This window comes from Homo sapiens, chromosome 1 (assembly GCF_000001405.40).
Source record: "Homo sapiens chromosome 1, GRCh38.p14 Primary Assembly".
Taxonomy (NCBI): domain Eukaryota; kingdom Metazoa; phylum Chordata; class Mammalia; order Primates; family Hominidae; genus Homo; species Homo sapiens.
Genome location: NC_000001.11, coordinates 235,552,506 through 235,572,925, shown reverse-complemented (window position 1 = coordinate 235,572,925; position 20,420 = coordinate 235,552,506). Strand labels below are relative to the sequence as shown.

Here is a 20,420-nt window from a genome sequence, read left to right as displayed (position 1 = left end):
GGACTGAAAATCTCTTGGCCAAAAGAGAGATATATACTGTCAGGCACTACATAAAAACTGTTTTAGTCAGCGACAGACTGCATATATGACGGTGGTCCCATAAGATTCTAGTAGTGTATATTTTTTGACCCGGCATGGTGGCTCACGCCTGTAATCCCAGCACTTTGGGAGGCCGAGGTGGGTAGATCACTTGAGGTCAGGAGTTCAAGACCAGCCTGGGAAACATGGCGAAACCCTGTCTCTACTAAACGTACAAAAATTAGCTGGGCATGGTGGCGCACCTGTAGTCCCAGCTTCTCAGGGGGCTGAGGCATGAGAATTGCTTGAACCCAGGAGGCAGAGGTTGCAGTGAGCTGAGAACATACCACCTCACTCCAGCCTGGGCGACAGAGCTAGACTCTGTCTCAAAAAAAAAAAGAAAAAAAAAAAAGAGCACGGTGGCTCATGCCTGTAATCCCAGCACTTTGTGAGGCCAAGGTGGGTGGATCACCTGAGGTCAGGAGTTTGAGACCAGCCTGGCCAAGATGGTGAAACCCCGTCTCTACTAAGAATATGAAAATTAGCCAGGCGTGGTAGCGAGCGCCTGTAATTCCAGCTACTTGGGAGGCTGAGGCAAGAGAATCGCTTGAACCCGGGAGGCAGAGGTTACAGTGAGCCGAGATGGTGCCACTGCACATCAGAGCGAGACTCCATCTCAAAAAAAAGATATCTAGTACTGTATTTTTACCTTACCTTTTCTGTTTAGCTGTTTAGATACACAGATACTTACCATTGTGTGACAGTTGCCTACAGTATTCAGTACAGTCACATTTCTGTAATCCTAGCACTTTGGGAGGCCAAGGCAGGAGGATCACTTGAGCTCAGGAGTTTGAAACCAGGCTGGGCAACATAGTGAGATCCTGTCTCTACTAAAAATTCAAAAAAGTAAGCTGGATGTGGTGCACACCTGTAGTCCCAGCTACTTGGGAGGCTGAGGCAGGAGGATTGCTTGAGCCCAGGAGTTGAGGCTGCAGTGAGCCCTGATCCTGCCACTGCACTCCAGCCTGGATGAGAGAGTGAGACCCTGTCTCAAAATAATTAATTAGTTAATTAATTAACATTTAAAAAGTTTGTAGCCTAGGAGCAATAGGCTATACCCTGTAATCTATAGGCTATACCCTATTGTGTAATAGGATAGACCATCTAGGTTTGTAGAAGTACACTCTGTGATGTTCTTACAGTGATGAAATCATCTAACAAGGCATTTCTCAGAACATATCCCCGTCATTAAGCGACACATGACTGTATACACAAGAAAGTGTTTGAGTCAATATCAAATTTCCCTATAGAAAGGGATACCAATTTATATTTTTATCAGTAATGTGTGTGTTTTCCCACATTCTCCCCCCAAACACCATTCATTATGCCATGCAAATGTAACAGATGATAATAATAGCGGCCAACATTTACTGAGTGCTTAATACGCGTTGTTCTGAACAAGTCACATTAAATTCATTCAATTCTCACAGCAGTCCAATGAAGTGGGTACTCTGTTATATGAAGGAGGAAACTGAGGTCTATGAAGATTCATTAACTTGCCTAAAATTCAGCAGCTGAAAAGTGATGAGAGCCCAGGGATAGGAAACCAGGGAGTGTGTCTCCAGAGCCTTCGCTCTCAACCTTTATGTCATACCATCTCTTGATTGCTGACGCCTCGTTATTTTAACATACATTTCATTGACTGTTACTGGGGTTAAACTAATTTTGTATGTTAAATTCTTCTTTTGCTAATTGGCTATTCCTACCGTTTACCCAATTTTCTATTGTAGTATTGTAGAATATTTTAAGGCCAGCACAGTGACTCACACCTGTAATTCCAGCACTTTGGGAGGCCAAGGCAGGAGGTTTGCCTGAGCACAGGAGCTTGAAACCAGCCTAGGCAACATGGCAAAACCCTATCTCTTCAAAAAAAAAAAAAAAAAAAGGTATGTATATATATATGTGTGTGTGTGTGTGTGTGTGTATATATATATGTATACACACACACACATATATACATACATATACACACACACACACACACATATATATATATAATTAGCTGGATATGGTAGCATGTACCTAGCTAGAGGCTGATGTGGGAGGATCACCTAAACCTGGGAGGTTGAGGTTGCAGAGAGCCGAGATTGCGGCGCTGCACTCGAGCCTGGATGACAGAGTGAGACCCTGTCTTTTAAAAATTTATTTAGACTGGGTGCGGTGCTCATGCCTGTAATCCCAGCACTTTGGGAGGCTGAGAGGGGGAGTGGATCACCTGAGGTCAGGAGTTCGAGACCAGCCTGACCAACATAGTGAAACCCTGTCTCTACTAAAGATACAAAAATTAGCTGGGCATGATGGCGGGCACCTGTAATCCCAGCTACTCGGGAGGCTGAGGCAGGAGAATCGCTTGAACCCGGGAGGCGGAGGTTGCAGTGAGCCAAGGTCATGCCATTGCACTCTAGCCTGAGTGACGGAGTGAAACTCCGTCTCAAAAAAAAAAAAAAAAAAAAGAAGAGGTGAAACTAACGAGTTGGAAAGGGAGGTGGAAAAGCTAAGGAAAGAATTGGAGGGAGGTGGGAGCACCACTGGAAAGAGTGGAGAGTGGCACACATGCTGTGGAAAGCCACAGTGATGACCTGGAGACAGGCCTCAGGAAGGTGCACAGGAAACAAAAGAAACAGATGGAGTGTCAGACCGAAGCAATTAGAAGCTGATAGAAATCCAGACTGACAAGAGCATTCTCACATTTGTATGCGAATATTCCTGGCAGAGAGAATAAATGGAATAGAAAATACTCTTCAGGATATAACATAAAACAGCTTCATTAAATAAAGGAAGACCTGAATCTGCAGGTCCAAACTGCTTGCCGTATTCCAGAAAAGAGTGTGAGAGAAATGATCGACACAGACACAAATACAGCTGAGGGTCTTAATCTCAAAAGGAAAGAGTGATCTCTCCATCAACAAATAAGTCAATAGCAAAAAGCAAAACAAAAGCAATACTAATAATAAAGAGCCCATTAAGAATATAGGCAGAAGAGGCCAGGCGCAGTGGCTCGCACCTGTTATCCCAGCACTTTGGGAGGCCGAGGCGGACGGATCACCTGAGGTCAGGAGTTCGAGACCAGCCTGGCCAATGTGGTAAAACCCTGTCTACTGAAAATACAAAAATGAGCTGGGCGTAGTGGTGGGCGCCTGTAATCCCAGCTACTCGGGAGGCTGAGGTGGGAGAATCGCTTGAACCTGGGAGGCGTTCAAACACTGCTTCAGTAAACAAGGAAAGAGGTCATGAGGAATCTAGTGAGCCAAGATCGTGCCATTGCACTCCAGCCTGGGCAACAAGAGCAAAATTCCATCTTAAAACAACAAAAAAAAAAGAATATAGGCAGAAGAAGCAGTCAGTTAGGACAAATACCCCTAACTTTGATTACATTCTTTTTTTTTTTTTGAGACACGGTCTCCCTCTGTCACCCAGGCTGGAGTGCAGTGTCGTGATCTTGGCTCACTGCAGCTTCCGCCTTCCCGGCTCGAGCTATCCTCCCACTTCAGCCTCCCAAATAGCTAAGACTAGGTTTTGCCATGTTGCCCAGGCGGTCTCTAACTCCTGAGCTCAAACAATCCACTCGCCTTGGCCTCCCAGAGTGCTAGGATTACAGGCGTGAGCCCCCACACCCAGCCTTGGTACATTCTTAATATGTGTTAGGTGCTTGAATTTTCACACCAGCCCTGAGATGTTGGTGCTATCAGTACCCCATTTCACAGACAAGAAAACAGGCCCAGGCCAGGTGCAGTGGCTCACACCTGTTGTCCCAGCACTTTGGGAAGCCAAGGCAGGAGGATCAGAAGAGGTCAGAAGTTTAAGACCAGCCTGGCCAGCATGGTGAAACTCCATCTCTACTAAAAATACAAAAATTAGCCGGGCTTGGTGGTGAGCACCTGTAGTCCCAGCTACTTGGGTGGCTGAGGCAGGAGAATTGCTTGAACCTAGGCGGAGAAGGTTTCAGTGAGCCGGGATCACACCACTGCACTCCAGCCTGGACAACAGAGCAAGACTCCATCTCAAAAAAGAGAAAAGAAAAGAAGAAAAGAGAAGAAAAAAAGAAAAAAAAAAAGGAAAGAAAAAGAAAAGAGGTCCAGAGTTGTCATTTGATGAAGGAAGGATACAAACCCAGAACCTTGGGTACTATCATTACACTACAGTGCCTCACCCACAAAGGAGGAAAATATCAGTCTGGACAACACTTCCCCACAGTTCTGAAGATGTCAGCCCAAGGAGAAACAGCATCTACAATGAATTCTCTACCCAACCAAGTGGCCATTTATGTCCATGGCAACATAGATATATTCTCAATTATGCAGAAGTTTAAATGTAATGCAAATATGTGCTGCTTTTCTTTAGCAAACTTATTTTATTTTATTCCATTGAATTTCACTAAAGGAGATACAGATGTGCATAATTATGTTAATTTACACATGATAATATACATTAAGACCATAAGAAAGCTGAGAAAATGCCTGCTCAGTCAAAAGGTCTTCCCGAGCAGGGGCTGAGGGTCTTGCACATGGCTGGATCCACACACAATCTGAGTCATAGGAGGCATTGAAGGCACTGAAGGATGGGCTTGATGTACTTGGAACAGCTCAGTCACCTGTTTTGATGCAGGGCCTGTTGCAGGTGTGATGACTAGAGCGGGGATCATGAGTGCTAAAGGAATTTGCCAAGGCAGTCATAGGTTTAAAAAAAAAAAAGCAGATTTATTAGAAGGAAAGTATGTTGCAAGGAAGCAACGGGCAGCACAGCAGAAAAGGGACTGTCTCCAAAAAGGCAGGGGCTGGAAGGAAGCTTTATAGGGTCATGCTGGAGGGGGTTCGTGCAGTTACAGTCCTGCTGCTGGGGCTACGTGCAGAGTGAGGGAACAGGATGTTGTGCAAGGGCCTGTTTGTGGTTAGCCGTCTCTCAGAACAATTGTTCTCCCCAACCTGGGACCCCTTCCTCATTGTTGCTTATTTATCAGGATTCCACAGAGCCCAAATCAATATTATAGAAATGGGATCGGGTGAGACAATCCATGTATCACCTATGAATAGACTCAAAAGAATTGGAAGTAGGGTCTTGAAGAGAGATCTGTACATCCATATTAATAGCAGTTTATTCACAATAGCCAAGGCATAGAAGCTACCTAAATGTCTATCAACAGATAAATGGATAAACAAAATGTAGTGTATACTTAAAACAGAAAATTATTCAGCCTTAAACAGGAAGGAAACTCAGACATGTGGGACAACATGAATGAACCTTGAGGACACTATGCTAAGAGAAATAAGCCAGGCACAAAAAGACAAAATATTGTGTTCCACCTATATGAGGTACCTAGAGGAGTCAAATTCATAGAAACAGACAGGAGAATGGTGTTCTCCAGGGCCTGGGGGAAGGAGAGAATGGAGGGTTGTTTAATGGAAACAGAGTTTCAGTTTTGCAAGTTCTGGAGACGGATGGTACTGATAGTTGCACAAGAATGTGAAAATACTTAATACTACTGAACTATATACTTAAAAATAGTTAAGACGATGCATTTGATGTCATGTATGTTTTATAGAAATACACATATATGTGTATATATGTACACATATATTTGTATAAACATATAGTCCTATAATTAAACATTTTTTTATGCCGGGTGCAGTGGCTCAAGTCTGTAATCCTGGCACTTTGGGAGGCCAAGGTGGGAGAATTGCTTGAGCTCAGGAGTTTGAGACCAGTCTGGGAAACATAGCGAGACCACATCTCTACTAAATTTTTTTTTTTTAATTAGCTGGACATGGTGGTATGTGCCTACTTAGGAGGCTGAGGTGGGAGGATCACTTGAGCCCAGAAGACAGAGGCTGCTTTGAGTTATGATCTCACCACTGCACTCCAGCCAGGGCAACAGAGCAAGACTTTATTTCAATAATAATAATAATACTTTAAAAAAACTGCTTTCAAGACAAAGTTATCTCCAAATCCAGCTTCCATCGCTATAGAGCATTCAGAACCAACAAGTCTTCGTGCTGTTGGACCTGCTGTGCTAGAGGGCTTCATGTCCATCAGATGAATATTAGCATTCCCTCTGAGTCTGTATGAGACTGGGCTTGATGCATCCTTCATAGCACTTGTCAAGGCACCACTCACACCCAGATCTTCAGCACTGGTAGCATCCCCGTTCTCATTAGATAGCACCGCCATTTTCCTCAGTCTCTCCTATCTTTTAGAGCAGCGGTCCCCACCCTTTTTGGCACTAGGAACTGGTTTCATGGGAGACAGTTTTTCCACAGGTCATGGGGGACGGTTTGGGGATGATTCAAGCATTACATTTATTATGCACTTTATTGCTATTATTATTACATACTCACCATAATGTAGAATCAGTGGAAGCCCTAAGCTTGTTTTCCTGCAACTAGACAGGACAGGTGTTGGGAGACAGTGACAGATCATCAGGCATTAGGTTCTCATAAGGAGCATGCAAGCTAGATTCCTTGCATGCGCAGTTGACAATAGGGTTCACGCTCCTATGGGAATCTAAGGCCTCCGCTGATCTGACAGGAGGCGGAGCTCAGGCGGTAATGCTCACTCGCTGGCCGCTCACCTCCTGCTGTGCAGCCTGCTTCCTAACAGGCCATGGACTGGTACTGGTCCCTGGCAGGGGGTTGGAGACCCCTGTTTAGAGCACTGTTGAAAGACAGAACACTCACGATTTCACTCACCATGGAGACATCAGTGTGAGTCACCACTCTCCAAAGGTGATCTGCCTCCAAAGTCTATCACTGGGATTCAAATGCTCTCTGCCAAGTTATAGTTTCTGGGTCAATATTCAGTCCTAGAATTCTGCTCAATTCTTTATCAGTGTGATAGAGTCAGATTCTCAATTCTCACTCTTAATAGCCTTCAGATTTGGGTATCAGACAACTTTCTTACTCCATTGACTGAAGATACCAAATGGTAAAAGGGACCTCTGTCCCTCTGTGTCAGCTCATGGAATGCACAAACATCAGCAGCTGCCCCAAAAAGAACACTAGGTCACCTGTGAGGCTGATGATGAACTCCATAGGAACGACTGGGCAGTCTACTGCCTCGTATTTCAAAAGTTCCACCCTGAGAAGCTGTCAAACCTAAGCAAACCTAAGTAGGCACATACCACCATGTCCAGCTAATTGAAAAAAAATTTAATAGAGACGGGGGTCTCGCTATGTTTGCCAGACTGCTCTCAACTCCTGAGCTCAAGCAATTCTCTCACCTTGGGAGCCTGACGAAGAGCTTGCACCAGCCCATTGTGGTTGTTCTTTATTCCCAGGACCTTTGGGGATCTTCTAGTCACTGCCATATTGTGTTTTTTGTTGTTGTTGCTTGTTTGTTTGTTTTTTGAAACAGAGTCTCACTCTGTCACAAGCCCAGGCTAGAGTGCAGTGGCACGATCTCGGCTCACTGCAGCCTCCTCCTCCTGGGTTCAAGTGATTCTCCTGCATCAGCCTCCTGAGTAGTTGGGATTACAGGCGCCCATCACCACCATGCCCGGCTAATTTTTGTATTTTTAGTAGAGATGGGGTTTCACCATGTTGGCCAGGCTGGTTTCGAACTCCTGACCTCAGGTGATCCGCCCACCTCGGCCTCCCAAATTGCTGGGATTACAGGCATGCCACTGCGCTGGGCCAACTGCCACCCTCTTTCTTTAGCCTCTGACTTGCTCAGAGACGACCTTCCTGTTCAGGATTCTTGCCAGCACCATGGCCCGAGTGGTCTCCTGCCTCCTCTGGACTCTGCACATACATGTGTGTAACATGGGATCCAGCCAGCTGACTGAATCGAAATAACTTCCACACGGGGATGGCATGGTAGGAAAGAAGTTGCAGGGTTATTCAATCAATGTAAACTTAGAATTAAGAATAACTGGCTGGGCGCTGTGGCTCACGCCTGTAATCCCAGCATTTTGGGAGGCCAAGGTGGGCGGATCACAGGTCAAGAGATCAAGACCATCCTGGCCAACATGGTGAAACCCCATCTCTACTAAGAATACCAAAATAAGCCGGGCGTGGAGGCACACGCCTGTGGTCCCAGCTACTCGGGGGGCTGAGGCAGAAGAATCGCTTGAACCCGGGAGGCAGAGGTTGCAGTGAGCTGAGATTGTGCCACTGCACTCCAGCCTGGGCAACAGAGCTAGACTCTGTCTAAAAAAAATAATAATAACTATGATGACCACTCTTAAAAAAATGTAATTTTTATCATTCTTCTCAGAAATCTATATGATGTAAAAATAAATATTTGTCAGTAGTAGACTATGACAATCCTAGAAAATACTTACATTAAAATAGGGGAGGGAGAAGAGAGGAGAGTATAAATATGGCAACCTGTCAGTCCAAGAGTCTTTATTACAAATAACAGAAGCTTACCCTGGCTGAGTAAACATAAAAGGAATTTAGTTAGTTGGTTAGTTTCAACTTTAATTTTAGTTTCAAGGGGTACATGTGCAAGTTTGTTAAGTGGGTAAATTGGATGTCAGTAGGGTTTGGTGCACCAGTGATTTCATCCCCCAGGTAGTCAGCATAGTACCCAACAGGTAGTTTTTCAGCCCTTACCTTCCTCCCCCCATCACCCCTCAAGTAGTGTGTCTCTCGTTCCTGGTGTCTCCTATTCCCATCTTTGTGACCATGTGTACTCAATATTTAGCTCCCAGTTATAAATGAGAACGTGTGGCATTTGGTTTTCTGTTCCTGCATTAATTCAATTAGGATAATGGCCGCCAGCTGTATTCATACTGCTGCAAAGGACACAATTTCATTCATTTTTATAGCTGCATTGTATTTCATGGTGTATATATACTACATTTTCTTATCCAGTCCACTGTTGGTAAGCATCTAGGTTGATTATAAAAGGAATTTATTAAAGGGATTTTGAATAGCTTATAAAATTGCTGGAAAGTCTAGAGAAGTGGGCTTAAGATTCATCTTCTGGGAACAGCACTCAAAACCACACTGCAGAACAGTCTGAGGAAGGAACTGCTGCAATCACCACCCAGCACTACATGCTACAGTTTATACCACTATCACTCTGAGCCAGGAACTCAACCTTCTAGTCAGGACCACTGCCACCAGAACAAAAGCTCCTAATGTCTTTTCCCTCAGATCATTCACCAAAGTCTGGCACATGTGTGTCAGATAGACAGAAACAAAGTCACATGTGCCAAGTTGCAAGATTCTGGGAAGGTGAGTATTTAACATTTTCAGATCTATTAAGAGAAATAATTGTTTCCCCACACGAGGACTCATAAAGTAGATCATTCCTCCAACCAGAGAAGGGGTTCAGTTGCTGGGGGAAAACATGCATGATAATTGTCCAGTATAGCCAATTTCCTCATATTTCATAGATGTGAATCAATCAATATAACTTCATTTCTGAAATTGATTAACATTATAAACATATTAAGGCTATAAAGATAAAACGCTTTTTTTTTTTTTTTTTTTTTTTTTTTTTGAGACAGTTTCACTCTGTTGTCCAGGCTGGAATGCCGTGGGGCGATCTCTGCTCACTGCAACCTCTGCCTCTGGGTTCAAGCAATCCCAAGTAGCTGGGACTACAGGTGCGCACCGCTACGCCCGGCTAATTTTTGTAATTTTAGTAGAGATGGGGTTTCACTATGTTGGCCAGGCTGGTCTCAAACTCCTGACCTTAAGTGACCCGCCCACCTCAGCCTCCCAAAGTGCTGGGATTACAGGCATGAGCCATCACGCCTGGCCTATACTTCTTAATTACTGGAGTACAAGAAATAAAGACCATGGAACATCAACAGAAAACAAAAGAGAATGTAAAAGTTTCAAAAGACAAAATAAGACAGCAGAAACAATACCAAATACATCTATCTTAATAATAAGTGTTAAGTGGGAAAACTAATTTAGATTATCAGATTTAACCTTTAAAAAGAATATATTTTGCATTAGACATAGACCTAAAATAAAGTGACTCAGGTTGAATGTAAAAAGATGGGCAAAAATATATCAGATATATTCAATATGCACAAGATCTATATGAGGAAAACTACAAAACTCTGAGGAAAAAATCAAACATCTAAATAAATGGAGAGATAGTCCATGTTCATGGATAAGAAGACTCAATATAGTTAAAATAGCAGTTTTTCCCAACTTGATCTGTAGATTCAATGTGATCCCAATCAGAATCCCAGCAAATTTTCTTCTTTTTTTTTTTTCTTTTTTTTTTTTTCTTTTTTTTTTTCTTGAGACAGAGCCTTGCTCTGTTGCCCAAGCTGGAGTGCAGTGGTGCCATCTTGGCTCTCTGCAACCTCTGCCTCCCAGATTCAAGCAACTCTCCTGCCTCAGCCTCCTGAGTAGTTGGGATTACAGGCCCACCATGCCCAGCAGCTAATTTTTGTATTTTTAGTAGAGATGGGGTTTCGCCATATTGGCCAGGCTGGTCTTGAACTCCTGACCTCAAGTGATCCACCTGCCTCGACCTCCCAAAGTGCTGGGATTACAGGCATGAGCTGCTGTGCCCCACCCCAAAATCCCAGCAAATCTTATCTTGTGGATATTGACAAAATGATTTTAAAGTTTATATGGAAAGCCAAAAGACCCAGAATAGCCAATAAAATACTGAAGGAGAAGAACAAAGTTGGAGAACCGACACTACCTGACTGAAAGACTTACTATAAAACTACAGTAATTAAGACAATGTGGTATTGGTGAAAGAGTAGACGTGTAGGTCAGTGGAACAGAATAGAGAGCCCCAAAATAGACCCATGTAAATATAGCCAGCTGATCTTTGACAAAGGTGCAAAGCCAATACCATGAAGCAAAGATAGTCTTTTCAACAAATACTGTAAGAACAACTGAACATCCACATGCAGAAAATGAATCTAGACACAGACCTTTTACATTTTATAAAAATTAACTCAAAATAAATTATAGACATAAATATAAAAGAGTACACTACAGAACTTCTAGAAGATGACATAGGAAATCTAAGTGACCTTGGGTTTGGCAAAGAGTTTTTAGATACAACAGCAAAAGCACAATCCATCAAAGAAAAAAGTAGACAAGCTAGATTACAGTAAAATTTAAGACTTCAGTGAAAAGCACTGTTAAGGGAATGAACACAAGCCACACGCTGGGAGAAAATATTTGTCAAACACATGCCTGATAAAAGACTTGTATCCAAAATATATAAAGGGCCAAGTGCGGTGGCTCTCGCCTGTAATCCCAGCACGTTGGGAGGCTGAGGCAGGCAGATCACCTGAGGTCAGGAGTTTGAAACCAGCCTGGCCAATATGGTGAAACCCCATCTCTACTAAAAATACAAAAATTAGCTAGGCATGGTGGCAGGTGCCTGCAATCCCAGCCACTCAGGAAGCTGAGGTGGGAGATCACTTGAACCCCAGAGGTGGAGGTTGCACCACTGCAGTCCAGCCGGGTGGCAGAGCAAGACTCGTCTAGAAAAAAAAAATGTATATATATAGAGAGAGAGAGCGCGAGCGCGTGCAAGAGAGCAAGAGAGAGAGAACCCTTAAAACACAACAATGAGAAAACAACCAACCACATTAAAAAATGGGCAAAATGGCCGGGCGCGGTGGCTCACACCTGTAATCCCAACACTTTGGGAGGCCGAGGTGGGCGGATCACGAGGTCAGGAGATCGAGACCATGCTGGCTAACACGGTGAAACCCCGTCTCTACTAAAAATACAAAAAATTAGCCGGCCGTGGTGGCAGGCGCCTGTAGTCCCAGCTACTCGGGAGGCTGAGGCAGGAGAATGTCTTGAACCCGTGAGGTGGAGCTTGCAGTGAGCCGAGATGGCGCCACTGCACTGCAGCCTGGCGACAGAGTGAGACTCCGTCTCAAAAGAAAAAAGAAAAGGGCAAAATTTCTGATCAGACACATCACAAAAGATGACATACAAATGGAAAATAAGCGTATGAAAACATGTTCAACATCATGTCACTAGAGAATTACAAATTAAAACAATAAGATACCACTACACACCTATTAGAATGGCTAAAATCCAAAAATCTGGCCATATTGAGGAAAGGTTATTAGGATGAGCAGTTCTAGAACTGGGATCAGATAAAAGGGGAAAATGCTTCGGATTAAATGAAAGAGTAGAACATGAGTAGTAGAAGAAGAAAATGAAAGTTGCACTTAGAAAGGGATCTCTTCTATTCATGGGGATGATCTGGTCAGGGCCATTGTGGGCATCCAATGCCCTAATAATTTCTGAGAAACTTCTTCGTGTCTGTTTCTCAAGTATCTTCTCTGTCCTACTAGAAAGTAGCCAAATGAATAATGGATTAATAACCCCATGTGCTTATGTTTCAGTTGGCTTGTGCTGCTGTAACAGAATACCACAGACTGGGTAATTTATGATGCACAGAAATTTATTAACTCATAGTTCTGGGGGCTGGGAAAGGGCTACCTCTGGTGAGGGGCTACTTGCAGTGTCACCCCACAGCAGATGGCGGAAGGGCAAGGAGAGAGGCAGAGAGAGAAAAAAGGGGCCAAACCCATCCTTTTATAAGGAGCCCATTCCCATGATAACAGCATTAATCCATTCATGAGAACAGAGCCCTCATCACCTAATAACTTCTCATTAGGCCTCACCTCCTAACATGCTCGCATTGTTTCCAGAACATGCTTTTGGGAGACAGCACTTTCAAACCACGGCAATATATGATGGCATCCATTTAGCCACAAACCAGCAGGTGTTGCCGTTCTCGTTTACAGGAGTCAAAGCTGAGTGCCTGGAGTGTCCATCTTATCCAGCATGGCAAACTTGCAAAGTGATGGAATTATGGATTTCTTTTTGGAAATTTGGGAAATATCAAAACTGAGAGATAGTCAGTCAGATGGGACAAACACTGACCTGTTGAACGGGCTTGGTTAAGTCAAGGTCCAGGGTGGATCTAGGTCAATCATATTCTAAACAAGTGAGGGCTTTGATATTCCTGTGCTGAAGGCCATGTCAGAACAACTCTTACTTAAGTTAATTTGGTGATATTACAACTCTCTTTCAAGCATCTTAGATTTAGCTCCCAATGTGCAATCAACTTTTGATGTGGAAAAAAAGCCTATGCTGAAAGTAGTTAACAGTGGCTAGTCTGCTGCTATGGACATTTGACTTAAGGGTTCAGAGACGGACTCTGTTGAATTATTCTTTTATTCACACATATCACCCACCCTCCTCTCTCTGGTTTCCACCTTCAGGTATAACCTAACCCACTCTAAGCTTGATGTTGCCTGTGGCCTAGGACCCACCCACAGGGCGGAAGCCTCTCCCCACACAGGCCATCCGCCAACAAGTAAGAATTGCCCACACTGACCAGGAATAGTACGAAGTAGTTACTGGGATCCTCTGAAAGCCATAATATGAAAGTATCTAGAGACTGCCCTTAGGAACTGGTGTGTGGGTCTCAAATACTTCCCAATGTTAGGAGAAAAAAAAAAGCACAAGAGTTCACCCTGCAGTGCTTTCTGAGAATTTAAAGGTGAGGTATATACCTGTAATGTCCCCAGGATCCCACTGAGGATAAGCAGTATATGATATCTTCTAGTGGAGTGTGCACCAAATTTCACCGTGTAAAAATATACCATTATAGACCTTGTAAAATATACCGTTACACCATGCTGGCTGCAACCTGGCTGTACCATTAACTGTAATCCTGCTTTGTTTTCTTGGAGTAGGAGAAACAGGCAAAGCCAACCAAGATGCTTTTGATTCCCAGTAGTACTGTTAAATAGACCAGCGTTGCTTAGAAATAGGTGTGGGTCTGTCTACTTCAGATGCAAAGGATAAATGCAGTGGGTGTCACAGCCACAATAATAATTATGTCATCTGTCTTGTCATGGAATGTGACTATAGTAATTGCGGCATTTTCTCCCATCATTGAAGCTTGTAATTATAGTGCAACTAACAGGATTACGTGCTAACTTGGGCTGCCTTAATCACCTCTTTTACTCTGAAATGTGATGGTAAAATTCCACAGTTGTTCCCAAGCTACCAATTCTTTTCAACATCTGTTGTCTTGTAACTCTAACAGTTCAATACTAAGACGGGGAGGCACAGAGATGCTCCAGGCATTTCATCACAGTGAACTTGAGGGAAAGCCGAATTCAGGCTTGATGAGAAAGGATACACAGTAAAGGAATTTGCAATTTTCTACCAGAATAAGATTTTCTCTTTGAAAGCAAATTGTCTACTTTATGTTCCAAAGATGGCAGATGTTTAATGGGATCTGGCGTTGTCTGCAACCCCTATTTGGTACGTGTTGAAGGAAACCTCCAACCATAAACATCAATCTAGGGCTGATTAAGAAAACTCTCCCTCTCAGCGGAAGGAGCAGACTCAGGTTAATTAATACCTGGATACTGAGCTATTTGTTGGGACGCCACCTTTCATGTGTCAGGCTCATTTAGACGGTCATTACCTATATTTATCTTTTCAGATCACATTAACAATAAACTTCAGGGGTTACCCAAGATACTTTGGTTATAAAGGTTATATAGGACTCTGGACGCTATGTGAAAAGACGGGGTGATGAAGGTGGAAAACTCCCTTGACTATTTTGCTGTAAGATGACTTATGCTGTATTAGATGCAGCTGTGCGTAAGTGGGCCATTCTTCACAGTGTTACATTTCAGTAATTCTGAGTGCACCTAGGAAATTAATGTTTCACGGAACCAACCCAGATCCACACATTCGGGCTTAAACTGAGCACTTCTTGATCGGCAGTAATACTGGCTTCATTGTGTGTGCATTCCTGTTGTATGGGTGCACAGACAGGACTCAGCAAGCCAGAGGAGTGGTTATAACTCAGCAAACGCAACTGTGATCTTAAAGCAACAAAAGGAGGCAATCTAAGAACAACTCGTTTTCTTGCAAGAAAAATTGTGGCATCAGGTACAGTATCACCTTTGGGAGGTGAGAGAAAAATTCCTAGGTGAGACCTGCTTAGACCTGGCAAGGCCAGACCATTAATAGCATAATTGTTAGGGTGTTGCAGACACTGGGCTGTAAGGGAAGAAGTTACTCTGCTATGGAGTGGAACATGGGCCCAACCTGACTTCTCCTCGACTGAGCTGTCCCCCGAAGCCCCGACATTTTTTGAGCCCACTCCTTTAATGCTTGGTCATGATGTACAGGATGTACTGGTTGATAGTGCAGCTTCCCCAGTGAGGCGCCCCCTTGAGGTTGCTCCTAGAGAATTAAAAGAGTCGAACTGGCCCATGATGGATGTTGATAACCACCGGGACAGGTAAACTGATCAATGGGAAGAGAGCTATCGTGACAGTTTAGCCAGCCAACTTCTGACCAGCTGGATTGTATGTGTAGACAGAAGGGGATTGGCGGGTCACAGCCTAGAGGAAGGGGTGTCTTGGAGACCACAGTGGCTGTGTCCATCCTGTACTTCTCAGGGCCGGGGGGAAAGGGGGTGAGTCCCAGCTGAGGACACCTCCTGTCTCTAGGTTAAACGAAATGACCTAAGACACTCTAGGTGGGAGACTCTCCTTCTTCTGGTCCTGTGAGCTCCCAGGTAGTTGAACCACAAGGATCTCTCCTCGTGTGCACTGGATGGATGGGCAGGTGAGAATGTTCCAGGCCACTTGAGAATTACGGGTCTCATTGTCAATTAACAAAGCAGCTGCTGTAGTATAGCGGCTGAGTATAGATTCTGTATACAGTGTAGATTATAGATTCTGTATCGAGTGTAGATTCTGTGTAGTATAAAACGGGTCCCCAACCGCCGGGCCATGGACCAGTACCAGTCTGTGGCCTGTTAGGAACCGGGCCGCACAGCAGGAAGTGAGCAGCGGGTGAGCAAGCAAAGCTTCATCTGTATTTACAGGTGCTCCCCATTGGTTGCATTACCGCTTGAGCTCTGCCTCCTGTGAGATCAGCAGCGGCATTAGATTCTTACAGGAGCACAAACCCAATTGTGAACTGCGCGTGTGAGGGATCTAGGTTGCAAGCTCCTTATGAGAATCCTGTGTCTGATTATCTGTCACTGTCTCCCATCACCTCCAAATGGGACCATCTAGTTGCAGAAAAACAAGCTCAGGCCTCCCATTGATTCTGCATTATGGTGAATTGTATATAATTATTTCATTATGTATTACAATGTAATAATAACAGAAATAAAGTGTACGATAAATCTAATGCACTTGAATCCTCCTGAAACCATCCCCCCACCCCCAGTTCATGGAAAAACTGTCTTCCACGAAACCACTCCCTCGTGCCGAAAACGTTGGGGACGGCTGTAGTACAGTACAGCTTAGCTTCAAATTCTGGCTGTCTCTTTTTTTTTTTTTTTTTTTTTTGAGACAGAGTCTCACTCTGTCGCCAGGCTGGAGTGCAGTGGCGCGACCTCAGCTCACTGCAACCTCTGACTCCCTGGTTCAAGCAATTCTCCTGCCTCAGCCTCCCGAGTAGCTGGGATTACAGGCATGGGCCACCACGCCCAGCTAAATTTTGTATTTTTAGTAGAGACGGGGTTTCACCATGTTGGCCAGGATGTTCTTGAGCTCCTGATTTTGTGATCTGCCTGCCTCGGCCCCCCAAAGTGCTGGGATTACAGTCCGTGAGCCACCGTGCCCGGCCCTGGTTTCCTCTCTTAATAGATGGGTGACCTTCTTAACCTTTGTGCCTCAGTTTCCTCATCTGTAAAGTGGCTTTAAGATAATACTTATCATGTGTACTTGAAAATTGCTTGCCAGACTCAGAGGCTCATGCCTGTAATCCCAGCACTTTGAGAGGCCGAGGCGGGCAGATCACCTGAGGTCAGGAGTTCGAGACCAGCCCGGCCAACATGGAGAAACCCCATCTCTACCAAAAATTTAAAAATTAGCCAGGCATGGTGGCAGGAGCCTGTAACCCCAGCTACTAGAAGGCTGAGGCAGGAAAACTGTTTGAAACCAGGAGGCAGAGGTTACAGTGAGCTGAGATCGCCCTACTGCACTCCAGTCTGGATGGCAGAGTGAGACTCCATCTCAAAAGAAAAAAGAAAATTGCTAAAAGAGTAAATTTTATGTTTTTAACCACAAAAAAAGTATGTGAGGTAATAGATATGTCAGTTAGCTTGATTTAGCCATTCTATAATGTATACACGTATCAAAACATCATGTTGTACACCATAAATATATTCCATTTTTATTTGTCAATTATAAATAAGGAATTCTACTTTTTTTTTTTTTTTTTAGAGACAGGGTCTTGCTCTGCCACCCAGGCTGGTGTGCAGTGGTGCGATCACAGCTCACTGCAGCCTTGAACTCCCGGACTCAAGCGATGTCCCTGCCTCAGCCTCCCAAGTAGCTGGGACTGCCGGTGTGCACTATCATGCCTGGCTAATTTTTTCATTTTATGGTAGAGTCTTGTTATGTTGCCCAGGCTAGAGTCGTACGTATAAGAAGAATTAAATGACATAATACATCTGATGCATGTAGCATAGTGCTGGCACCTGAGAAGCACTCAGTAAATGTAAATGTTAGCTTCTATTTGTATTATGGTTTTATCCAGCTGCCTCCTGAGCTTGTTTAATATGGGTCAGCCACAAGAGATGATCTATTCTGAGTGTGCCAGGAAATTGTGTTTCTGGGCCCAGAAGTCCAGTGATTGCCCTCTGAAGAAAGGGGGCAGATTCACCAAGGTGTCCTCTACTGTCTGGGACTGGACAGGTTGTCAGATGCCCCGTCTCCTGGCCTCTCATCATGGATCCACAGTGGCGTGCAAGTGTTCTTTTGTGACATTTCAGCACACATGGATTATTATAGTGACTTCATCATGTTTGAGATCACAGTGAGATCTTCTAGAGGGCAAAACTGTTGCCTTATTCTTTCTCTTGCATCCTCTGAATTAGCTAAAGGGTAGATAGTGAATACTTCCTTTCTGAATGACATAACGAGGATTATAGAGAATTCAGATGAAACTGGAGCATGTCCAAAAAAAATGAAGTAGATGGGAAAAGTGAAAACTAGAAAACTGGAGAGGGCATGATAGTCAGACGAGACGTTCTTTTTTTTTTTTTTTTTTTTTGAGATGGAGTTTCACTCTTGTTGCCCAGACTGGAGTGCAGTGGCACAATCTCAGCTCATTGCAACTTCCAACTCCCGAGTTCAAGCGATTCTCCTGCCTCAGCCTCCTGAGTAGCTGGGATTACAGGCACCCGCCACCACGCCTGGCTAATTTTTTGTATTTTTTGTAGAGACGGGGTTTCACCATGTTGGCCAGGCTGGTCTTGAACTCCTGACCTCAGGCGATCCACCCGCCTTGGCCTCCCAAAGTGCTGGGATTACAGGTGTGAGCCACTGCGTCCAGCCGAGCCATTCTTAAACGGAACTCCCAGAAGAGCTCACTGGAGTCAGGGGCCTAGACTTAGCAAACCCAAGAGGACAGTGGCTCCTAGAGGAGGAATGTGGTTGTTCCAACACTGCAGCCCTTGTGTGTGCTGCCCAGGCAGCAGTGAAGACCACTGCCCAGGGGTTGCCAGAGGGGTCAATGGATGAATTTAGTGGCTGTCCTAACATGGTGGCCATGAGGGAGACCCCAGACCTCAGCAGCTTCTGCATCTCTGGGCATGGTGAGAAGCCAGGAGTGGAAACTAAGGAGGTCATCACTCCAGCAGTTGGGGAGGGCACTTGGCTTTCCTTAGAAGGTGGCAGCAAGGGAGGGCTCAATCTCCCAAGTCCACCGGCTTTGAGTTGCAGCACTCACCATGTGATTCCATTCTCTTGTGTGTCCATCGCAGCCCTGTGGGCCTCAGAGTCCATTTCCTTAAGCCTGTGCTCCTGCTCCTTGTGATGGCTTCACAGGCCCCCCACAGGCTCAGTTTTCCCCTGAGCCTCACCCATCTGGGAAATTCCTATATGGGCGTCCTGTAACCCACTGCAAACTTCAAACACTCCTATTCAACTCAACATACACGTTTTTAGGATCTTAAATACTGACCATGCTATTAAAGGTAGAATCATAGACGTCTTAGAGTAAATTGGGACCTTAGAGCTCTCCAACGCTCCTGAATTTTACAAATGAGGGAAGTGAAGCTCAGAAAGGTTGAGCTGCTTACCCAAGGTCACACAGCTAGCTTACGGGCGGGGGTAGATCTAGAAGCCTGATGTTCACCGGAACTCATTTCTCCATGCCACATTCTTAACAAATGTAGGTTTTGTCAGGATTTAGACTAACTCATCTGCTAAACTTCAAGTTGATTTATTTGAGTGATGTGTTTAGTTGATTCATTGTATATCTCTGCTGGAATTATTTCTAGCCATTGCTAAAGCGGTTAGGTCTGAAAATCAGAAGAATCTCTGTAAAATGCTGAAAGATGAGCCAATTTTTAAAACCCAGAAGGGAATGTGTATGGCCTGTGTAGCTGGAGGCTTCTAAACATTTTTTTTCTTCATCTGTGGAACATTTTTATCATTCTGGGGAAGATTTAGACATTGAATGTACTAAAAGGATTTCATTTGACTGCTATGTATTTACCCCTGCCTGTAATCCGCTAATAAATACTCGCAGGCAGAACAGCCTAATTGGCAGGATGAGTTAATGCACAGGCCATTTATCTGCCAAGCACATGACACAGACCATGAACAAAATAAGCTGGTAACTGCCTCTCCCTCTTAGCAAATGCTTGTCCGCACCCCGCCCTCTCCCAACCTGCTCTTCCTCTGGCCTTGAGCTTGGGGACAGTTTGATGCACAACTGCCATGCGCCAGCAGGCTTCAGATAAGCCTGGAAAGAAATGGAATGGAAAGAACTTTCTGGTCAGGAGCACCTCTCTCCGCAGGGAAGTGGCCACTCCAAGTTAAAACATGTGTGCTGGCTGGGCACGGTGGCTCATGCCTGTAATCCCAGCACTTTGGGAAGCCGAGGTGGGCAGATCACCTGAGGTCAGGAGTTTGAGACCAGCCTGGCCAACATAGTGAAACCCCATCTCTACTAAAAATACAAAAATTAGCTGGGCATGGTGAGTGCCTGTAATCTCAGCTACTTGGGAGACTGAGGCAGGAGCATCACTTGAACCCAGGAGATGGAGGTTGCAGTGAGCGGAGATCACGCCACCACACTCTAGCCTGGGCAACAGAGCGAGACTCTGCCTCAAAAAAAGAAATAAAAATGAAAAATGAATAAAAATAAAACGTGTGCTTATAAAATATAGCTAAATACAAGTTCTGTTGAGGAGGATGAAGTGTCTCTCTGTGTTGGTCACAAGAGTGGATTGCAATAAAACAACTAATAATGATAATAAATATGATCACACTGGCTTGGCCAGGGGCTGCCTTCTGCTTTAGTCTTCCAGAAACGGTTTAGCAAAGTCATTGTGAGACTACTGTCCTGGAACCTCCACTCCTCACCTACTCGAGAATATATCAA

At 44.5% G+C, this 20,420-nt stretch overlaps 1 protein-coding gene across 6 annotated transcripts in view, besides 1 other annotated feature; it reads left to right on the top strand.

Moving 5' to 3' along the window:
• The window catches only part of GNG4 (G protein subunit gamma 4), a 102,924-nt gene that overhangs the window by 77,683 nt on the left and 4,821 nt on the right, over positions 1-20,420 (top strand). The gene's annotated exons all lie outside the window — the stretch shown is intronic.
• Positions 6,427-6,928: an enhancer, noted in NCBI's record as "NANOG hESC enhancer chr1:235729298-235729799 (GRCh37/hg19 assembly coordinates)". NCBI's record gives its function as "activates a minimal SCP1, AML or CMV promoter by ChIP-STARR-seq in naive H9 embryonic stem cells {active_cell/tissue: H9 hESC(naive)}" and the evidence as "EXISTENCE:reporter gene assay evidence [ECO:0000049][PMID:30033119]".